This window comes from Homo sapiens, chromosome 5 (assembly GCF_000001405.40).
Source record: "Homo sapiens chromosome 5, GRCh38.p14 Primary Assembly".
NCBI classification, from domain to species: domain Eukaryota; kingdom Metazoa; phylum Chordata; class Mammalia; order Primates; family Hominidae; genus Homo; species Homo sapiens.
This window is the reverse complement of record NC_000005.10, coordinates 137,960,639-137,979,455: the sequence shown is the minus strand read 5'-3', so window position 1 is coordinate 137,979,455 and position 18,817 is coordinate 137,960,639. Positions and strand designations below refer to the sequence as shown.

Here is an 18,817-nt window from a genome sequence, read left to right as displayed (position 1 = left end):
GAATGATGTACCCAGATCTGTATTTTAGGAAGAAGGTTTTTTGTAGTAGTCATAAAAAGTTTGTGGGAAAGACTGGGGGTAAGGACAACAACAATCAGTAGGCTTTTTGCACTGTATTTGGCGAGCACTTAAAATATCTGAGCTGGTGGGCATGGTGGCTCATGCCTGTAATCCTTGCACTTTGGGAGGCCAAGGTGGGCAGATCACCTGAGGTCAGGAGTTCGAGACCAGCCTGGCCAACATGGTGAAAACGCATCTCTACTAAAAATACAAAAATTAGCGGGGCATGATGGCACATGCTTGTAATCCCAGCTACTCGGGAGGCTGAGGCTGGAGAATCTCTTGAACCCAGGAGGAGGAGGTTGCAGTGAGCTGAGATTATGCCACTGCACTCCAGCCTGGGTGAAAGAGTAAGACCCTGTCTCAAAAAAAAAAAAAAAAAGTCTGAACTGTGAGCCCTAGGGAAGGAAGGAAAAATAGAGAAAATTCCAAAGGTGAAAATGATTAAGATTTAGGTGCAAACTGGGGTAAGAAACACAGACACTAAGAGATTGGAAAAGAGGTCAGTGTTGCAGAACTGGAATATCAAGGTGGTTTATATGAAGCAGATGTTCAGGTCTTGAGCTGTGGCTGGTGGTGGAGGCTCATTTTGTCTGTGAGTGAATGCCATTGCCAAAGCAGTGACTTGAATAGAATAAACGGGGATTGAAGAAACCCTTGGGGAACCTCTGTATTCTAGCTCTTTGGAGGAAAAAAAGCAGCCATGACCATAGCAGTTGGGAATGTCAAAGAGGATGGGATTTTTTCCTGAGTCTGAAAGTTGGTCAAAATAGAGAGGTAAAAGGAGGAAAAAAGGTGGTGGGAGGCAAAGGTACAAAAATAAGAAGAGTAAGTTTAATTTTATTTGCTTGCTAGGGTGGTTAAAAGTCTAATGAAATGGCTTTTTTTTTTTCTTTGCCTTTGCTGTTGAACAAAAAATTTAAGAATACCCAGGAACAATATATTTAATGCTGGTGAGGGTAGGTTAAGGTAAGTGGTCTTATACAGACATCGGAAGTATAAATTGCTGTAAACTTCCTGGAAAACACATTAACAGTAAGAACAAAAGACCTTAAACCTTTGATCCAGAAATTTCAAAATCTAGGACTCTTTCCTAAGGAAATACATACAAATCAGAGGTGTATGCAAAGATTTTTCTACTAGAATTCTTACTGGGGGTTTCTTCATCGGAAAAAAAAATGGGAAACACAAAAAGTCCTAAATGGAAAATGATTAGATAAATCATAGTATATCCATATCATAGGATATAGTTGAGTCATTTAAAATTATTTTAAAGGCCCAAGTAATAGTTGTGAGGTAAAGTTATTTTGAAAAAAAAACAAAAAACAAAAAACAAAACATACAAAACCAAGTGTAGATTACTAAAGCTAATGCAGTCCCAATTTCTTTGTGTGCATGCACTGCATGTGTGTGTGGCACATAGTCAAAAGGCCAAGTCAGAATATTCACAGTGGCCTTCTGTCTGATAGATTGTGGATGATTTTACTTTTCTTCATATGTCCTTATATTTATGTTTCCAACAGTTTCTCTGATTTATAATCAAATAATTAAAGAAAATTTATTGGATTTAGTGATAGAAATTATTGGTAAAGAAAGAGGAGCTTTGGTAGGTAGAGGATTTCATGGTTGAGAATGAATATCAGGTGAGTAGGTAGAAGCTGCAGTGTGTGGAATGCCTTTTGCACAAGTTTTGCATTGAAATTAAAAGGAAAGAGAAGGCCAGGCATGGTGGTTCATGCCTGTAATCCCAGCTGTAATCCCAGCACTTTGAGATATCAGGGAACCTGCTCCCGATAGTCATGTAGGTTCTTTTCTATTTTCCCTAAGCATTGGCTGGGTTGAGAAATAAAGGGACAGAGTACAAAAGAGAGAAATTTTAAAGCTGGGCATCCGGGGGAGACATCACATGTTCGTAGGTTCTGTGATGCCCCCCAAGCTGTAAAACCAGCAAGTTTTTATTAGGGATTTTCAAAAGGAGAGGGAGTGTATGAATAGGGTGTGGGTCACAGAGATCACATGCTTCACAAGGTAATAGAATATCACAAGGCAAATGGAGGCAGGGCGAGATCACAGGACCACAGGACTGGGGTGAAATTAAAATTGCTGATGAAGTTTCAGGCACACGTTGTCATTGATAACATCTTATCAGGAGACAGGGTTTGAGAGCAACCGGTCTGACCAAAATTTATTAGGCGGGAATTTCCTCGTCCTAATAAGCCTGGGAGCGCTATGGGAGACTGGGGCTTATTTCATCCCTACAGTCTTGACCATAGAAGATGGCCACACCCAAGGAGGCCATTTCAGAGACCTACCCTCAGGGGTGCATTCTCTTTCTCAGGGGTATTCCTTGCTGAGAAAAAGAATTCAGCGATATTTCTCCCATTTGCTTTTGAAAGAAGAGAAATATGGCACTGTTCCACCTGGCTCACCGGCAGTCAGAGTTTAAGGTTATCTCTCTTGTTCCCTGAACATTGCTGTTATCCTGTTCTTTTTTCAAGGTGCCCAGATTTCATATTGTTCAAACACACTTGCTCTACAATTTGTGCAGTTAATACAATCATCACAGGGTCCTGAGGCGAAATACATCCTCCTCAGTTTACAAAAATGATGGGATTAAGAGATTAAAGTAAAGACAGGCATAGGAAATCACAAGGGTATTGATTGGGGAGGTGATAAGCGTCCATGAAATCTTCACAATTTATGTTCAAAGATAGCAGTAAAGACAGGCATAAGAAATTATAAAAGTATTAATTTGGGGAACTAATAAATGTCCATGAAATCTTCACAATCCACGTTCTTCTGCCATGGCTTCAGCTGGTCCCTCCATTCGGGGTCCCTGACTTCCTGCAACAACAGTGGCCTTCTGGCTGATAGGTTATGGATGATTTTACTTTTCTTCATATGTTCTTATATTTAGGTTTCCAACAGTTTCTCTGATTTATAATCAAATAATTTAAGCAAAAAATTCCAATTAAAGAAAATTTATTGCATTTAGTGATAGAAATTATTGGTAAAGAAAGAGGAGCTTTGGTAGGTAGAGGATTTCATGGTTGAGAATGAATATCAGGTGAGTAGGTAGAAGCTGCAGTGTGTGGAATGCCTTTTGCACAAGTTTTGCATTGAAATTAAAAGGAAAGAGAAGGCCAGGCATGGTGGTTCACGCCTGTAATCCCAGCACTTTGGGAGGCCGAGGTGGGTGGATCACGAAGTCAGGAGATGGAGACCATCCTGGCTAACATGGTGAAACCCCATCTCTACAAAAATACGAAAAATTAGCCAGGCGTGGTGGCAGGCGCCTGTAGTCCCAGCTACTTGGGAGGCTGAGGCAGAATGGCATGAACCCGGGAGGCGGAGATCGCGCCACTGCACTCCAGCCTGGGCAACAGAGCAAGACTGTCTCAAAAAAAAAAAAAAAGGAAGAGTTGAGCAGTCTGGTTGTGGAAGAGATATTCCCCCCTTCCCCACTCCCGTCCCCCATTTCTGCTTTCTTGATACAGGATGGAGATTTGAGCATGTCAGTAGGAATCACTCACTAGATAGGGAGAGACTAAAAAATGTCAGAAAGAAAAAAAAAAACCCAGGGTAGTTAGGGGAACACTGCATAGAGGGGGTTGGGAGTGAGAGATGGAAGAAAGGTGATTCAGTGTGCAAGTTGAGTGACTATTCCTAAATAGGAGAGGCTACTTTTAATCTTCAGTAAAAGGGGATATATAGAATATTTTTTTAAGCGAGAGGTGTTTTGGGGACTTAATTCAGATGGCTTTGACCATTTTAAAATGAAATGCATTTGCAGAGGGTGAGGAGACAGGAATTGGGTTTGGATCTGAAGAAATAGGTAGTTTTGCAGGAGTCTCTGTGGGGAGAAATCAGACAGAACTGAGTCACCAGATGTTTGAGAACCAATGGAGGTCTAACTGAAGTTTGATGACATGAATTTGTAGTGAGCCAACTAGGAAGGTACGTTAAGTGACACATTTTATTGTAGCATCTGTCTGTCTGGAGGACAGAAAGCTGGTCATAAACTAGACCACATTGGTTAGGGCATTGACTAAATAGCTTTGAAATAGTTAGCCAGGGTACAGAGTGCGTGTTGGGTGGATTAGAAATTTAGAATGAAGTTTTCAAGCGGTGACAGTAAGGTGAAGAAGTTGCAGAAGAGGGGAATATTAGTTGGACAGGATGTATGAGTTTCAAGTGTATTATGGCATGGCGTGATTCAAGTGGCTTTCGTAGAAAGTAACTTGTGTCTAGGAAAGTGTAAGGCTAGATAGAGCAGGAGTCAGCAAACTTTGTGTAAAGGTCTACACAGTAAATATTTTAGGCATTGTGGGTATATAGTCTCTGCCACAACTACTTAACTCTGCTATTGTAGCATGGACGCAGCCAGAAAAAACCGTAAGAAATGAGCATGGCTGTGTTCCAATAAAATTTAATTTATGGACACTAAAATTGAATTTTGTGTCATTTTCACTTCACAGAATATCATTATTCTTTTGATTCTCCCTTCTACCCACAATCATTAAAAACGTAGAAACCCTTCTTAGCCAAGTGACCATGCAAAAACTGGCAACAGGTTGGATTTGTCTAGTATGCTGTAGTTTGCCAACACCTGGGCTAGAATATTGTAAGGAGATCAACATTTTAGACATAAAAGATAATGTTGGAGATTTGTTTTCTCTGAAATTGACTTGCAGTGTAAGGAAAACAAATTGCTTGCTTTTTTTTTTTTTTTGGAGAAATGCTGTATGGTTGCACTTCTTTTTTTTTCTTTTTTTTATTTATTATTATTATACTTTAAGTTTTAGGGTACATGTGCACAATGTGCAGGTTAGTTACATATGTATACATGTGCCATGCTGGTGCGCTGCACCCACTAACTCGTCATCTAGCATTAGGTATATCTCCCAATGCTATCCCTCCCCCCTCCCCCCACCCCACAACAGTCTCCAGAGTGTGATGTTCCCCTTCCTGTGTCCATGTGTTCTCATTGTTCAATTCCCACCTATGAGTGAGAATATGCGGTGTTTGGTTTTTTGTTCTTGCGATAGTTTACTGAGAATGATGATTTCCAATTTCATCCATGTCCCTGCAAAGGACATGAACTCATCATTTTTTATGGCGCATAGTATAGTATTCCATGGTGTATATGTGCCACATTTTCTTAATCCAGTCTATCATTGTTGGACATTTGGGTTGGTTCCAAGTCTTTGCTATTGTGAATAATGCTGCAATAAACATACGTGTGCATGTGTCTTTATAGCAGCATGATTTATAGTCCTTTGGGTATAAACCCAGTAATGGGATGGCTGGGTCAAATGGTATTTCTAGTTCTAGATCCCTGAGGAATCGCCACACTGACTTCCACAATGGTTGAACTAGTTTACAGTCCCACCAACAGTGTAAAAGTGTTCCTATTTCTCCACATCCTCTCCAGCACCTGTTGTTTCCTGACTTTTTAATGATTGCCATTCTAACTGGTGTGAAATGGTATCTCATTGTGGTTTTGATTTGCATTTCTCTGATGGCCAGTGATGGTGAGCATTTTTTCATGTGTTTTTTGGCTGCATAAATGTCTTCTTTTGAGAAGTGTCTGTTCATGTCCTTTGCCCACTTTTTGATGGGGTTGTTTGTTTTTTTCTTGTAAATTTGTTTGAGTTCATTGTAGATTCTGGATATTAGCCCTTTGTCAGATGAGTAGGTTGTGAAAATTTTCTCCCATTCTGTAGGTTGCCTGTTCACTCTGATGGTAGTTTCTTTTGCTGTGCAGAAGCTCTTTAATCAGATCCCATTTGTCAATTTTGGCTTTTGTTGCCGTTGCTTTTAGTGTTTTAGACATGAAGTCCTTGCCCATGCCTATGTCCTGAATGGTAATGCCTAGGTTTTCTTCTGGGGTTTTTATGGTTTTAGGTCTAACGTTTAAGTCTTTAATCCATCTTGAATTGATTTTTGTATAAGGTGTAAGGAAGGGATCCAGTTTCAGCTTTCTACATATGGCTAGCCTGTTTTCCCAGCACCATTTATTAAATAGGGAATCCTTTCCCCATTGCTTGTTTTTGTCAGGTTTGTCAAAGATCAGATAGTTGTAGATATGCAGCATTATTTCTGAGGGCTATGTTCTGTTCCATTGATCTATATCTCTGTTTTGGTACCAGTACCATGCTGTTTTGATTACTGTAGCCTTATAGTATAGTTTGAAGTCAGGTAGTGTGATGCCTCCAGCTTTGTTCTTTTGGCTCAGGATTGACTTGGCGATGTGGGCTGTTTTTTGGTTCCATATGGACTTAAAAGTAGTTTTTTCCAATTCTGTGAAGAAAGTCATTGGTAGCTTGATGGGGATGGCATTGAATCTATAAATTACCTTGGGCAGTATGGCCATTTTCATGATATCGATTCTTCCTACCCATGAGCATGGAATGTTCTTCCATTTGTTTGTATCCTCTTTTATTTCCTTGAGCAGTGGTTTGTAGTTCTCCTTGAAGAGGTCCTTCACATCCCTTGTAAGTTGGATTCCTAGGTATTTTATTCTCTTTGAAGCAATTGTGAATGGGAGTTCACTCATGATTTGGCTCTGTTTGTCTGTTGTTGGTGTATAAGAAAGCTTGTGATTTTTGTACATTGATTTTGTATCCTGAGACTTTGCTGAAGTTGCTTATCAGCTTAAGGAGATTTTGGGCTGAGACAATGGGGTTTTCTAGATATACAATCATGTCGTCTGCAAACCGGGACAATTTGACTTCCTCTTTTCCTAATTGAATACCTTTTATTTCCTTCTCCTGCCTAATTGCCCTGGCCAGAACTTCCAACACTATGTTGAATAGGAGTGGTGAGAGAGGGCATCCCTGTCTTGTGCCATTTTTCAAAGGGAATGCTTCCAGTTTTTGCCCATTCAGTATGATATTGGCTGTGGGTTTGTCATAGATAGCTCTTATTATTTTGAGATACGTCCCATCAATACCTAATTTATTGAGAGTTTTTAGCATGAAGGTTGTTGAATTTTGTCAAAGGCCTTTTCTGCATCTATTGAGATAATCGTGGTTTTTGTCTTTGGTTCTGTTTATATGCTGGATTACATTTATTGATTTGTGTATATTGAACCAGCCTTGCATCCCAGGGATGAAGCCCACTTGATCATGGTGGATAAGCTTTTTGATGTGCTGCTGGATTCGGTTTGCCAGTATTTTATTGAGGATTTTTGCATCAATGTTCATCAAGGATATTGGTCTAAAATTCTCTTTTTTGGTTGTGTCTCTGCCTGGCTTTGGTATCAGGATGATGCTGGCCTCATAAAATGAGTTAGGGAGGATTCCCTCTTTTTCTGTTGATTGGAATAGTTTCAGAAGGAATGGTACCAGTTCCTCCTTGTACCTCTGGTAGAATTCGGCTGTGAATCCATCTGGTCCTGGACTCTTTTTGGTTGGTAAGCTATTGATTATTGCCACAATTTCAGCTCCTGTTCTTGGTCTATTCAGAGATTCAACTTCTTCCTGGTTTAGTCTTGGGAGAGTGTATGTGTTGAAGAATTTATCCATTTCTTCTAGATTTTCTAGTTTATTTGCATACAGGTGTTTGTAGTATTCTCTGATGGTAGTTTGTATTTCTGTGGGATTGGTGGTGATATCCCCTTTATCATTTTTTATTGCGTCTATTTGATTCTTCTCTCTTTTTTTCTTTATTAGTCTTGCTAGCGGTCTATCAATTTTGTTGATCCTTTCAAAAAACCAGCTCCTGGATTCGTTAATTTTTTGAAGGGTTTTTTGTATCTCTATTTCCTTCAGTTCTACTCTGATTTTAGTTATTTCTTGCCTTCTGCTAGCTTTTGAATGTGTTTGCTCTTGCTTTTCTAGTTCTTTTAATTGTGATGTTAGGGTGTCAATTTTAGATCTTTCCTGCTTTCTCTTGTGGACATTTAGTGCTATAAATTTCCCTCTACACACTGCTTTGAATGTGTCCCAGAGATTCTGGTATGTTGTGTCTTTGTTCTCGTTGGTTTCAAAGAACATCTTTATTTCTGCCTTCATTTTGTTATGTACCCAGTAGTCATTCAGGAGCAGGTTGTTCAGTTGCCATGTAGTTGAGCAGTTTTGAGTGAGATTCTTAATCCTGAGTTCTAGTTTGATTGCACTGTGGTCTGAGAGATAGTTTGTTATAATTTCTGTTCTTTTACATTTGCTGAGGAGAGCTTTACTTCCAACTATGTGGTCAATTTTGGAATAGGTCTGGTGTGGTGCTGAAAAAAATGTATATTCTGTTGATTTGGGGTGGAGAGTTCTGTAGATGTCTATAAGGTCCGCTTGGTGCAGAGCTGAGTTCAATTCCTGGGTATCCTTGTTAACTTTCTGTCTCGTTGATCTGTCTAATGTTGACAGTGGGGTGTTAAAGTCTCCCATTATTAATGTGTGGAAGTCTAAGTCTCTTTGTAGGTCACTCAGGACTTGCTTTATGAATCTGGGTGCTCCTGTATTGGGTGCATATATATTTAGGATAGTTAGCTCTTCTTGTTGAATTGATCCCTTTACCATTAAGTAATGGCCTTCTTTGTCTCTTTTGATCTTTGTTGGTTTAAAGTCTGTTTTATCAGAGACTAGGATTGCAACCCCTGCCTTTTTTTGTTTTCCATTTGCTTGGTAGATCTTCCTCCATCCTTTTATTTTGAGCCTGTGTGTGTCTTTGCCCGTGAGATGGGTTTCCTGAATACAGCACACTGATGGGTCTTGACCCTTTGTCCAATTTGCCAGTCTGTGCCCTTTAATTGGAGCATTTAGCCCATTTACATTTAAAGTTAATATTGTTATGTGTGAATTTGATCCTGTCATTATGATGTTAGCTCATTATTTTGCTTGTTAATTGACACAGTTTCTTCCTAGTCTCGATGGTCTTTACATTTTGGCATGATTTTGCAGTGGCTGGTACCGGTTGTTCCTTTCCATGTTTAGCGCTTCCTTCAGGAGCTCTTTTAGGGCAGGCCTGGTGGTGACAGAATCTCTCAGCATTTGCTTGTCTGTAAAGTATTTTATTTCTCCTTCACTTATGAAGCTTAGTTTGGCTGGATATGAAATTCTGGGTTGAAAATTCTTTTGTTTAAGAATGTTGAATATTGGCCCCCACTCTCTTCTGCCTTGTAGAGTTTCTGCTGAGAGATCCGCTGTTAGTCTGATGGGCTTCCCTTTGAGGGTAACCCGACCTTTCTCTCTGGCTGCCCTTAACATTTTTTCCTTCGTTTCAACTTTGGTGAATCTGACAATTATGTGTCTTGGTGTTGCTCTTCTCGAGGAGTATCTTTGTGGCGTTCTCTGTATTTCCTGAATCTGAACGTTGGCCTGCCTTGCTAGATTGGGGAAGTTCTCCTGGATAATATCCTGCAGAATGTTTTCCAACTTGGTTCCATTCTCCCCGTCACTTGCAGGTACACCAATCAGACGTAGATTTGGTCTTTTCACATAGTCCCATATTTCTTGGAGGCTTTGCTCATTTCTTTTTATTCTTTTTTCTCTAAACTTCCCTTCTCGCTTCATTTCATTCATTTGATCTTCCATCACTGATACCCCTTCTTCCAGTTGATTGCATCGGCTCCTGAGGCTTCTGCATTCTTCACGTAGTTCTCGAGCCTTGGTTTTCAGCTACATCAGCTCCTTTAAGCACTTCTCTGTATTGGTTATTCTAGTTATACATTCTTCTAAATTTTTTTCAAAGTTTTCAACTTCTTTGCCTTTGGTTTGAATGTCCTCCCGTAGCTTGGAGTAGTTTGATCGTCTGAAGCCTTCTTCTCTCAGGTCGTCAAAGTCATTCTCCGTCCAGCTTTGTTCCGTTGCTGGTGAGGAACTGCGTTCCTTTGGAGGAGGAGAGGTGCTCTGCTTTTTAGAGTTTCCAGTTTTTCTGCTCTGTTTTTTCCCCATCTTTGTGGTTTTATCTACCTTTGGCCTTTGATGATGGTGATGTACAGATGGGTTTTTGGTGTGGATGTCCTTTCTGTTTGTTAGTTTTCCTTCTAACAGACAGGACCCTCAGCTGCAGGTCTGTTGGAGCACCCGGCCGTGTGAGGTGTCAGTCTGCCCCTGCTGGGGGTGCCTCCCAGTTAGGCTGCTTGGGGGTCAAGGGTCAGGGACCCACTTGAGGAGGCAGTCTGCCCGTTCTCAGATCTCCAGCTGCGTGCTGGGAGAACCACTGCTCTCTTCAATGCTGTCAGACAGGGACATTTAAGTCTGCAGAGGTTACTGCTGTCTTTTTGTTTGTCTGTGCCCTGCCCCCCAGAGGTGGAGCCTACAGAGGCAGGCAGGCCTCCTTGAGCTGTGGTGGGCTCCACCCAGTTAGAGCTTCCCGGCTGCTTTGTTTACCTAAGCAAGCCTGGGCAATGGCGGGCACCCTTCCCCCAGCCTCGCTGCCGCCTTGCAGTTTGATCTCAGACTGCTGTGGTAGCAATCAGCGAGACTCTGTGGGTGTAGGACCCTCCAAGCCAGGTGCGGGATATAATGTCCTGGTGTGCCGTTTTTTAAGCCCGTCGGAAAAGCGTAGTATTCAGGTGGGAGTGACCCAATTTTCTAGGTGCCGTCTGTCACCACTTTCTTTGACTAGGAAAGGGAACTCCCTGACCCCTTGCGCTTCCCGAGTGAGGCAATGCCTCGCCCTGCTTTGGCTCGCGCACGATGCACGCACCCACTGACCTGCGCCCACTGTCTGGCACTCCCTAGTGAGATGAACCCGGTACCTCAGATGGAAATGCAGAAATCACCCGTCTTTTGCGTCGCTCACGCTGGGAGCTGTAGACCAGAGCCGTTCCTATTCGGCCATCTTGGCTCCTCCCCCCACAAATTGCTTTTTAATGTTTCAAAGCTGATCACATAAACAGCTTTATGTGATCTACATAAACTGTAGTACTAGGTGCTACATAAACCACAGTCCTATAATGTATTGGTTAGCCAGGCTGAAATTAATCTTAAGAATTTTTTTTTTTTTTTTTTTTGAGACAGAGTCTCAGTCTTGCCCAGGCTAGAGTGCAGTGGCATGATCTCGGTTTGCTGCAGCCTCTACCTCCCAGATTCAAGTGAGTCTCATGCCTCAGCCTCCCAAGTAGCCGGGATTAAAAGTGTGTGCCACCACACCTAGCTAATTTTTGTACTTTTTTTTTTTAGTGGAAACTTACATTGTGACTTTCTTTTACATTGACTTTTTTTTTTTTTTTGAGACAGTCTTGCTCTGTCGCCCAGATTGGAGTGCAATGGCGTGATCTCAGCTCACTGCAACCTCTGCCTCCCGGGTTCAAGCGATTCTCCTGCCTCAGCCTCCCGAGTAGCTGGGATTATAGGCACACGCCACTACGCCTGGCTAATTTTTGTATTTTTAGTAGAGACGGGGTTTCACCATGTTGATCAGGTTGGTCTCGAACTCCTGACTTCGTGATCCGCCCTCCTCAGCCTCCAAAAGTGCTGGGATTACAGGTGTGAGCCACCGCGCCTGGCCTACATTGACATTTTTATAGAAATGTTAAGTCTTTTTATTCTATTTTTTGAGACAGGGTCTTGCTTTAGTCACCCAGGCTGCAGTGCAGTGGCATGATCACAGCTCACTGCAATCTCAGCCTCCCAGGCTCAAGCAATCCTCCCACCTCACCTTACCAAGCAGCTGTGACTACAGGGGCATGCCATCACACCTGGCTAATTTTTAATTTTTTTACAGAGAAGGAGTCTCACTTTGTTGCCTGGGCTGGTCTTGAACTCCTGGCTTCAAGCAATTCTCCCACCTCAGCCTCTGAAAATACTGGAATTACAGATGTGAGCCACCATGATGGGTCTCGTCTTTTCTGTTTCCAGTTGTCCACATCCACATTTTTCTGTTGGGTTGATGGTATTTTTCCTTTTTGGTTTGTACATTTTTTTTTTGAGACAGAGTCTCGGTTTGTCTCCCAGGTTGAAGTGCAGTGGTGCGATCTCAGCCCACTGCAACCTCCGCCTCCTGGGTTCAAGCAGTTCTCTGCCTCAGCCTCCCGAGTAGCTAGGATTGCAGGCACCTGCCACCACGCCCAGCTAACTTTTGTATTTTTACTAGAGACCGGGTTTCACCATCTTGGCCAGGCTGGTCTTGAACTCCTGACCTTGTGATCCACCCACCTCGGCCTCTCAAAGGGCTGGGATTACAGGCATAAGCCACCGTGCCTGGCCATATTTTTTATTTATTAAGGAACTACCTACTTTCTTAACGATCAGTCGCAAATATTTGTTTCCAGTTTTTTGTCTTTTGACTACTTAAAGTCATTTTTGATGGTGTTAAACTTTATCGTCTTTTTTTTTTTCCCTTTTTTAAGATTTTAGGTTTTAATAGTTGGGAAGGCCTTCCCTATTCTGAGATTATAAGCTAACTTTCTTCTTTTAAAAAAATACTTCTATGGTTTCATTTTCTACATTTGAATATTTGACCCATTTGGAATTTATCATGGTGTAAGATGTGAAGAGCAGATTCAGCTGTTTGTCCTACATGTTTACCTAGATATCCCAACACCGTAATTTTTTGTATAATATATCCTTTTCCCACCAATATGAAATGCCACCTTTATTATAAACTAAATGCCTGGATACATTTGTAATAAAAGTGGTGTTTCAAATCAGTTGAGTGTGTTTCTCATTCATTCACCAGCAATGAGTGACAGTGCCACATTCTTGCCAGTATTTGGTAGTGTTAGTGTTTTGGATTTTGGCCATTCTGATAGATGTGTAATGGTATCTTGTTTAAATTTTGAGTTTCCTAATGACATACGATGATAAGTTTTTCATATGCTATGTGTATATCTTCTTTAATGAGGTGTTTATTCAGGTCTTTTGCCCGTTTTTAAATTGGATTGTTTTCTTATTGTTGAGTTTTAAGAGTTTCTCTCTCTCTTTCCCTCTCTCTCTCTCTCTCTCTCTCTCTCTCTCTCTCTATATATATATATATATATATATATATATAAAATCTATTTCTTTCTTTTTTTTTTTTGAGACGGAGTCTCTGTCACCCAGGCTGGAGTGCAGTGGTGCAATCTCGGCTCACTGCAACCTCCGCCTCCTGGGTTCAAGTGATTCTCCTGCCTCAGCCTCCCATGTAGCTGGGATTACAGGCGTGTACCACCACGCCCAGCTAATTTTTGTATTTTTAGTAGAGACGAGGTTTCGCCATATTGGCCAGGCTGGTCTTGAACGCCTGACCTCAGGTGATCCGCCCACCTCAGCCTCCCAAAGTGCTGGGATTACAGGCATGAGCCACCACACCCGGCCTATATTTTGGATAAGCTTATCTAGTAGGTTTTTGCAAAATAGAATTTTTTTTTTAATGTGCTACTAGATTCTGTAGTAAATATTTAGGAGTTTTATCTGATACAAAGAGATTATTCACTATAGATTTTGAATAGGTATAAGTTGTACAGTAATCAATATTTTGGGAGTTGAAAGTGTATGAAGGTGAAAAAAAAAAGTGTATGAAGTTGAATAGCCTGATTAGAACTCACATCAAAATACCTGGATTTATCATCAGTAAAATCCATTCATTTCAGGGTACCTTCATTGATGGTGCCCCTTCAAAACTTAGAATTATTCATACCTTGCAAACACTGAGAAACTGTTTTATCTCCTTTCAGAAGTGGAGGCCAGAAGTATTTATAAACTCTAGTAGATAGTCAAGAGGAAGAGAAGGCTATAAATTTGACGTGTACTAGTCTTAAGACCTCATCAGTTTTGATCATATTAATTCAGTAGAAGAGAGAGAGTAGGCTAGATAGAAGTATATCAATATGCAATTTATTGAGTGTTTGTTCAGCAAATGCAAGGTACAGAATGGAGTGGAGATATGTAGCCTATTTAATAGAAGTAACTAGCATGCTTGAGCCAAAGGTAAATGAGAGAAATGGGAAGATGCAGAACTAAGCAAGGTGGGTGCACCAATTATGGACCCCTAAGGAAGGGATGGAGACCAGAGGAATTACCGGAAATGCCTGTCAGGTTTTAATTAACTCTTGGCAGTAATCTCCGATAGCTCCTAAGATATTGCTAATATGACTGTGCTGTATCTGCTGCTCCTCCTGCTGCTGCCACTGCCACCGCCACTGCCAAAGCTCTCTAACTTACCTGAATTGAGACCAGAGCACCTTAGCTTTCCTTTGCAGACCTTAATGTTTGTGGAAGGGCACATGGGAGGAAGTGGGGAGAAGGTATGGGTTATTTTGCCTGCTGATATTTTATTTTATTTATATATTTTATATTTTTTTGAAACAGAGGCTCGCTCTGTCACCCAGGCTGGAGTGCAGTGGCACAGTCTCCACTCACCGCAATCTGCTCCTCCCCACTGGGTTCAAGTGATTCTTGTGCCTCAGCCTCCTGAGTAGCTGGGATTACAGGCGCACACTACTGCACCTGGCTGATTTTTGTATTTTTAGTAGACGGGATTTCACCATGTTGGCCAGGCTGGTCTTGAACTCCTGACCTCAAGTGATCCATCCGCCTTGGCCTCCCAAAGTGTTGGGATTACAAGTGTGAGCCTCTGTGCCTGGCCAATATAGATGGTTTTTCTTATAAGCTATTTCTTTTGATTCTCTGTGGTAACTCTGAGGTAGTCAAGTAAATTATTGTTATTCTCATATTTGTGATGAGAAAGGCAGAGCTAGGGCTTGAATTTGGTTCTTTTGAGTGAGATACCAAGGTTCTGTTTGTTTGTTTGTGACGGAGTCTTGTACTGTCACCCAGACTGGAGTGCAGTGGTGCAATCTTGGCTCACTGCAGCCTTTGCTTCCTGGGTTCAAGCAATTCTCCTGTCTCAGTCTCCCGAGTAGCTGGGACTACAGGTGTGTGCTACCACGCCCGGCTAATTTTTGTATTTTTAGTGGAGATGGGGTTTCGCCATGTTGGCCAGGCTGGTCTCAAACTCCTGATCTCAAGTGATTTGCTCGCCTCAGCCTCCCAAAGTGCTGGGATTACAGGTGTGAGCCACTGTGCCTGGCCCCAAGGTTCATTTTAAATATTGGGTCTGGTTGTGCACAGTGGCTCATGCCTGTAATCCCAGGACTTTGGGAGGCTGAAGACAGATGGATCACTTGAGGTCAGGAGTTCAAGACCAGCCTGGCCAACATGCCGAAACCCATCTCTACTAAAATTACAAAAAAATTACCCTATTCAACATGCTGAAACCCCATCTCTGCTAAAAATACAAAACAATTAGCCAGGTGTCCTGGCACCACACCTGTAGTCCCAGCTACTCGGGAGGCTGAGGCAGGAGAATCGCTTGAACCCAGGAGATGGAGTTTGCAGTGAACCTGCATGAGCCTCACTCTGGCCTGGATGACAGAGTGAGACTGTCTCAAAAAATTTTTTTAAGTAAATAAATAAAAATTAAATATTTGGTCTGGGTAATGGTTATTTCATGTGCCCAGAAACCTTCAGAATGTAAAGCTATCTTCTAGAGCAGAGATCCCCAACATTTTTGGAACCAGGGACTGGTTTTGTGGACAACAGTTTTTCCATGGATGGTGGATAGGGGGTTGGGGTTTTGGGATGAAACTGTTCTACCTCACATCATCAAAGCATTAGTTAGATTCTCATAAGGAACACAACCTAGATCCCTTGTTTGCACAGCTCACAATAGGGTCCATGCCTCTGAGAATCTAATGCCAGCACTCATATGACTGGAGGCGCGGAGCTCATGCCATAGTGCTCACTCCCCACTCCCCCAGCTGCTCACCTCCTGCTGTGTGGCCTGGTTCTTAACAGGCTAGCGATCGGTACCGGTCCAGGGGTTGGGGACACCTGTTATTGATCATAAAAGTTACCGAAGTCTGATTTCTGTATCAGTGGTTCTCACACTTTGGGTCTCAGGGACTCATTCATACTCTTAAAAATATTGAAGATCCCAAAGAGCTTTTGTTTACATAGGTATATCTGTTAGGATTTACCATATTAGGAATTAAAACTGGTAAATTTAAAAAACATTAATTTAACAAACTCATTTATGGTAACATAAGTAAGGTTGCTCTTTTCCACAATAGATAACTGTTTTCATAAAATTTTTTAAGTTTGAGGAGTGGCATTGTTTTACATAGCTAGAAATATTGTTGATACCTGTTTGACTTACAGAAGACAGCTGGATTCTTGTATATGCTTCTGCATTTAAGTCTGTTGCTGTTACATTGTTTTGTTGAAGCATATGAGACAGCCTCACAGATGTGTAGTTTGAAAAGGGACTAGTATTTTAACAGCTTTTTTTGCAGATTCTTGTGGACCTTCTTTCACGCTAAACAAAGCTGGACAAGTGGTACTTACTTTCTAAAGAAGAATCAGAGAGTCTAGGAAGTATGGAACCTTTTGTTGATTTGAAAGGTGATCATCAAAAACACCACAACGTTCATGTATTTTGTAGTAATTCTCTGGGTATTTGTATTAGACTTGGTAGGTTTTTAGTTTGGGGGGGAATAGGGATGAGATGGTGTCACTAAGCTCGTTGGAAAATGGGAGAGTTTTCTCATGTGGGGACTTTCTTTGTGGAAAATAGTTATTACTTCAAATATACAAAGGAATCTAGTGAACTCCTCTATGACTCCTATCTTACCTACAAGAAGTCACCAAACTTGTATCTTTGTAGCTGAGGAGAAATAAAGCAAGCAGCAGTTGGCAAGCAGGATCAGAAGACCATCATTTTGGAGGAGATAATTCTAAGGAAGAAGGATGGTAGTGGTGATACATATTACCTAATAGAGAGAAATGCAGAGTACCTGCTATACTTCATATGACCCAGGTTTTGAGGGAAGATAAATTACTCTCTGTAAAAAGAGATGCTAAGTACTACAGACTATTATAAATGATAGCTAATTAGGGGTGTTTGACTAATCTGTATTCTAATATCCTAATTTAGATTGGCAACTTCTCTTATCTGAGTATTGGGAGCTCCATTAATACATGGTAGTGTTCTTTTTGTCAGTCTGTAGGTATATTGTTAGAGCCATGCAGTGACCGTGGTGATAGTGAAGATGGCTGTCTTGAGAGGTAAGCATTTTTTCTTGTTGCTAATTAATCATTTTGAGAATTGGAGCTCTTCACAGATTTTTGAGGTGATTTTTTTAGATGAATGTCCATTATAAATATATAGTTTAGATAATCTTAAACAGCCTTCTTGTTATAATGGTAGGCATAAAGGATATTAAATACCCATAAATGTTTGGATTTGTACAGGTTCAGACAGTAGTTATAACTTGGAAAACATTCAGAGGGAAAAACAGCCTTTTTGGAGACATTTAAATCTTTCAGTTGATTGTGGAACAATTGGGAATTTACTGATATTCTGAGTATACCTGTCAGTGAGTTAATTCATGATCTTGTAACTGTGTATAACTAACTGAGAGATACTGTATTTGATTCAACAAATATGTATAGGATGTTTTTCTTCCTCTTTGAATTTATCCTTGGTGTGTCTCAGTACACTCTTAGGCAGCTGGTGCTTTTTTAACCTCTTTGGCTGGCTGTAATGGTAGAGAAATACTGGAGGCAATGAGTATTTCGACTAATGTAGAGTCTCAATAGATAGCCTCTTTGAATAGAAGCTTTCTAGAATGTTTTAAATCACAGAGTAAGATTTGGGTTCTTGTTACCCTTTGCATCAGTCTTCAAGATGCTGCCAAAAAGTATAACTTTCTTAGGAAGGTGATTTGAGATTCTGAAAACACTTCAGTAATGAAGTTGCAGGCTAGATTGTAAATATTGAGAGATCCCAGACAGTATACTAATTTGCTGACAGCCTGTTGGCCAGGACATATTTGTATTCTATTGTTTCTTTTAATTATAAGTAGGAAGCCTGTTCTTTAAGGGTAAGCAAATTCTTTGGAGCCACGTCTCTGGAGCCTCCCCATACTCTGAAGGTCCACAGATTTCCTTATAGCAGTTCCTTGTCCTTCCTTTCAGGAGGCAGGAATCATCCTCTTCCAGCCCAGGAAGTATTGGAGCTATGGGCTGAAGATATAAAATTAACAACATTAACAGGCACCCCCAGAATAGTGACATCTGGATTTGGTAGAACAATAAGGACCCATTTAGTGAGGACTCTTCTGTTGTTGTTGTTGTTGTTGTTGTTGTTGTTGTTTTTGGAAAAAGCTCTCTCCTCTTCAACTTCAACTGTGTATAAGTTAGCAAACTGGTTTTTAGATCCAGAGTACCTTGGTTAGGTGGATTACATTTTGTATGTTTAACATTCATGCTTCTCAAATGTAGGTGATTAGGTCTTTTAGGCTGCTAAGGTAGTAATTACTCATCCTACCATTTGCTCCTACTCTAAGCAAAGGAATGCCTTTAAGCTTAACAGAGCATTTAGTTCATTTCTTATTCTCAGCAAGAATAAGGTAATTATCTGTATGAGAAGATGACTTGCAATATTTAGATCAAGGCATGTCTCCTGAGTGCATACTCTGTTATGGCCGGTTAGAAGTGACATCTCGATGTGTCATTGTAAATTGCCACTGTGTCTTTGGGGAAAAGAACTTTCCCCCAGTAGGCATATTGATAATCTACTGTATAATAGCAGGTGCTCTCTTGACTGGTAAAATAGGTACAGATCACTTACGACAGCTTGCTATAACACTTGTTCTAAATAAGGGTTAGTTTTTCTGGGGAAGTAAAAGGTGGACTGAAATTTTTTAAAATTTCCTTTTAGTATGTTACTGTTATATTTTGAGGAGGGAAAGGTTTGGAAGTAGTAACCTTCTCTGATTGGAAGTAGTATCCTTGTGATAGAATACAGTCAAGTTTAAAGTAAAAGACAT

At 40.9% G+C, this 18,817-nt stretch overlaps 1 protein-coding gene across 46 annotated transcripts in view; it reads left to right on the top strand.

Annotated features, from left to right (window-relative positions):
* FAM13B (family with sequence similarity 13 member B) overlaps positions 1–18,817 on the top strand; it is a 114,219-nt gene that overhangs the window by 72,723 nt on the left and 22,679 nt on the right. For 44 of the 46 annotated variants that reach the window (NR_169814.1, NR_169822.1, NR_169826.1 and 41 more), the window contains one exon: positions 16,987–17,051. The exons of 1 other annotated variant lie outside the window; for it this stretch is intronic. Coding sequence is in view for 39 of the 45 variants with exons in the window: in XM_006714648.2 (XP_006714711.1) it covers positions 16,987–17,051 (65 nt within the window). In the remaining 6 variants the exon portion in view is untranslated. The remainder of the gene's footprint in view (positions 1–16,986; positions 17,052–18,817) is intronic. One more of the 46 variants, NR_169815.1, reaches the window with a different exon arrangement.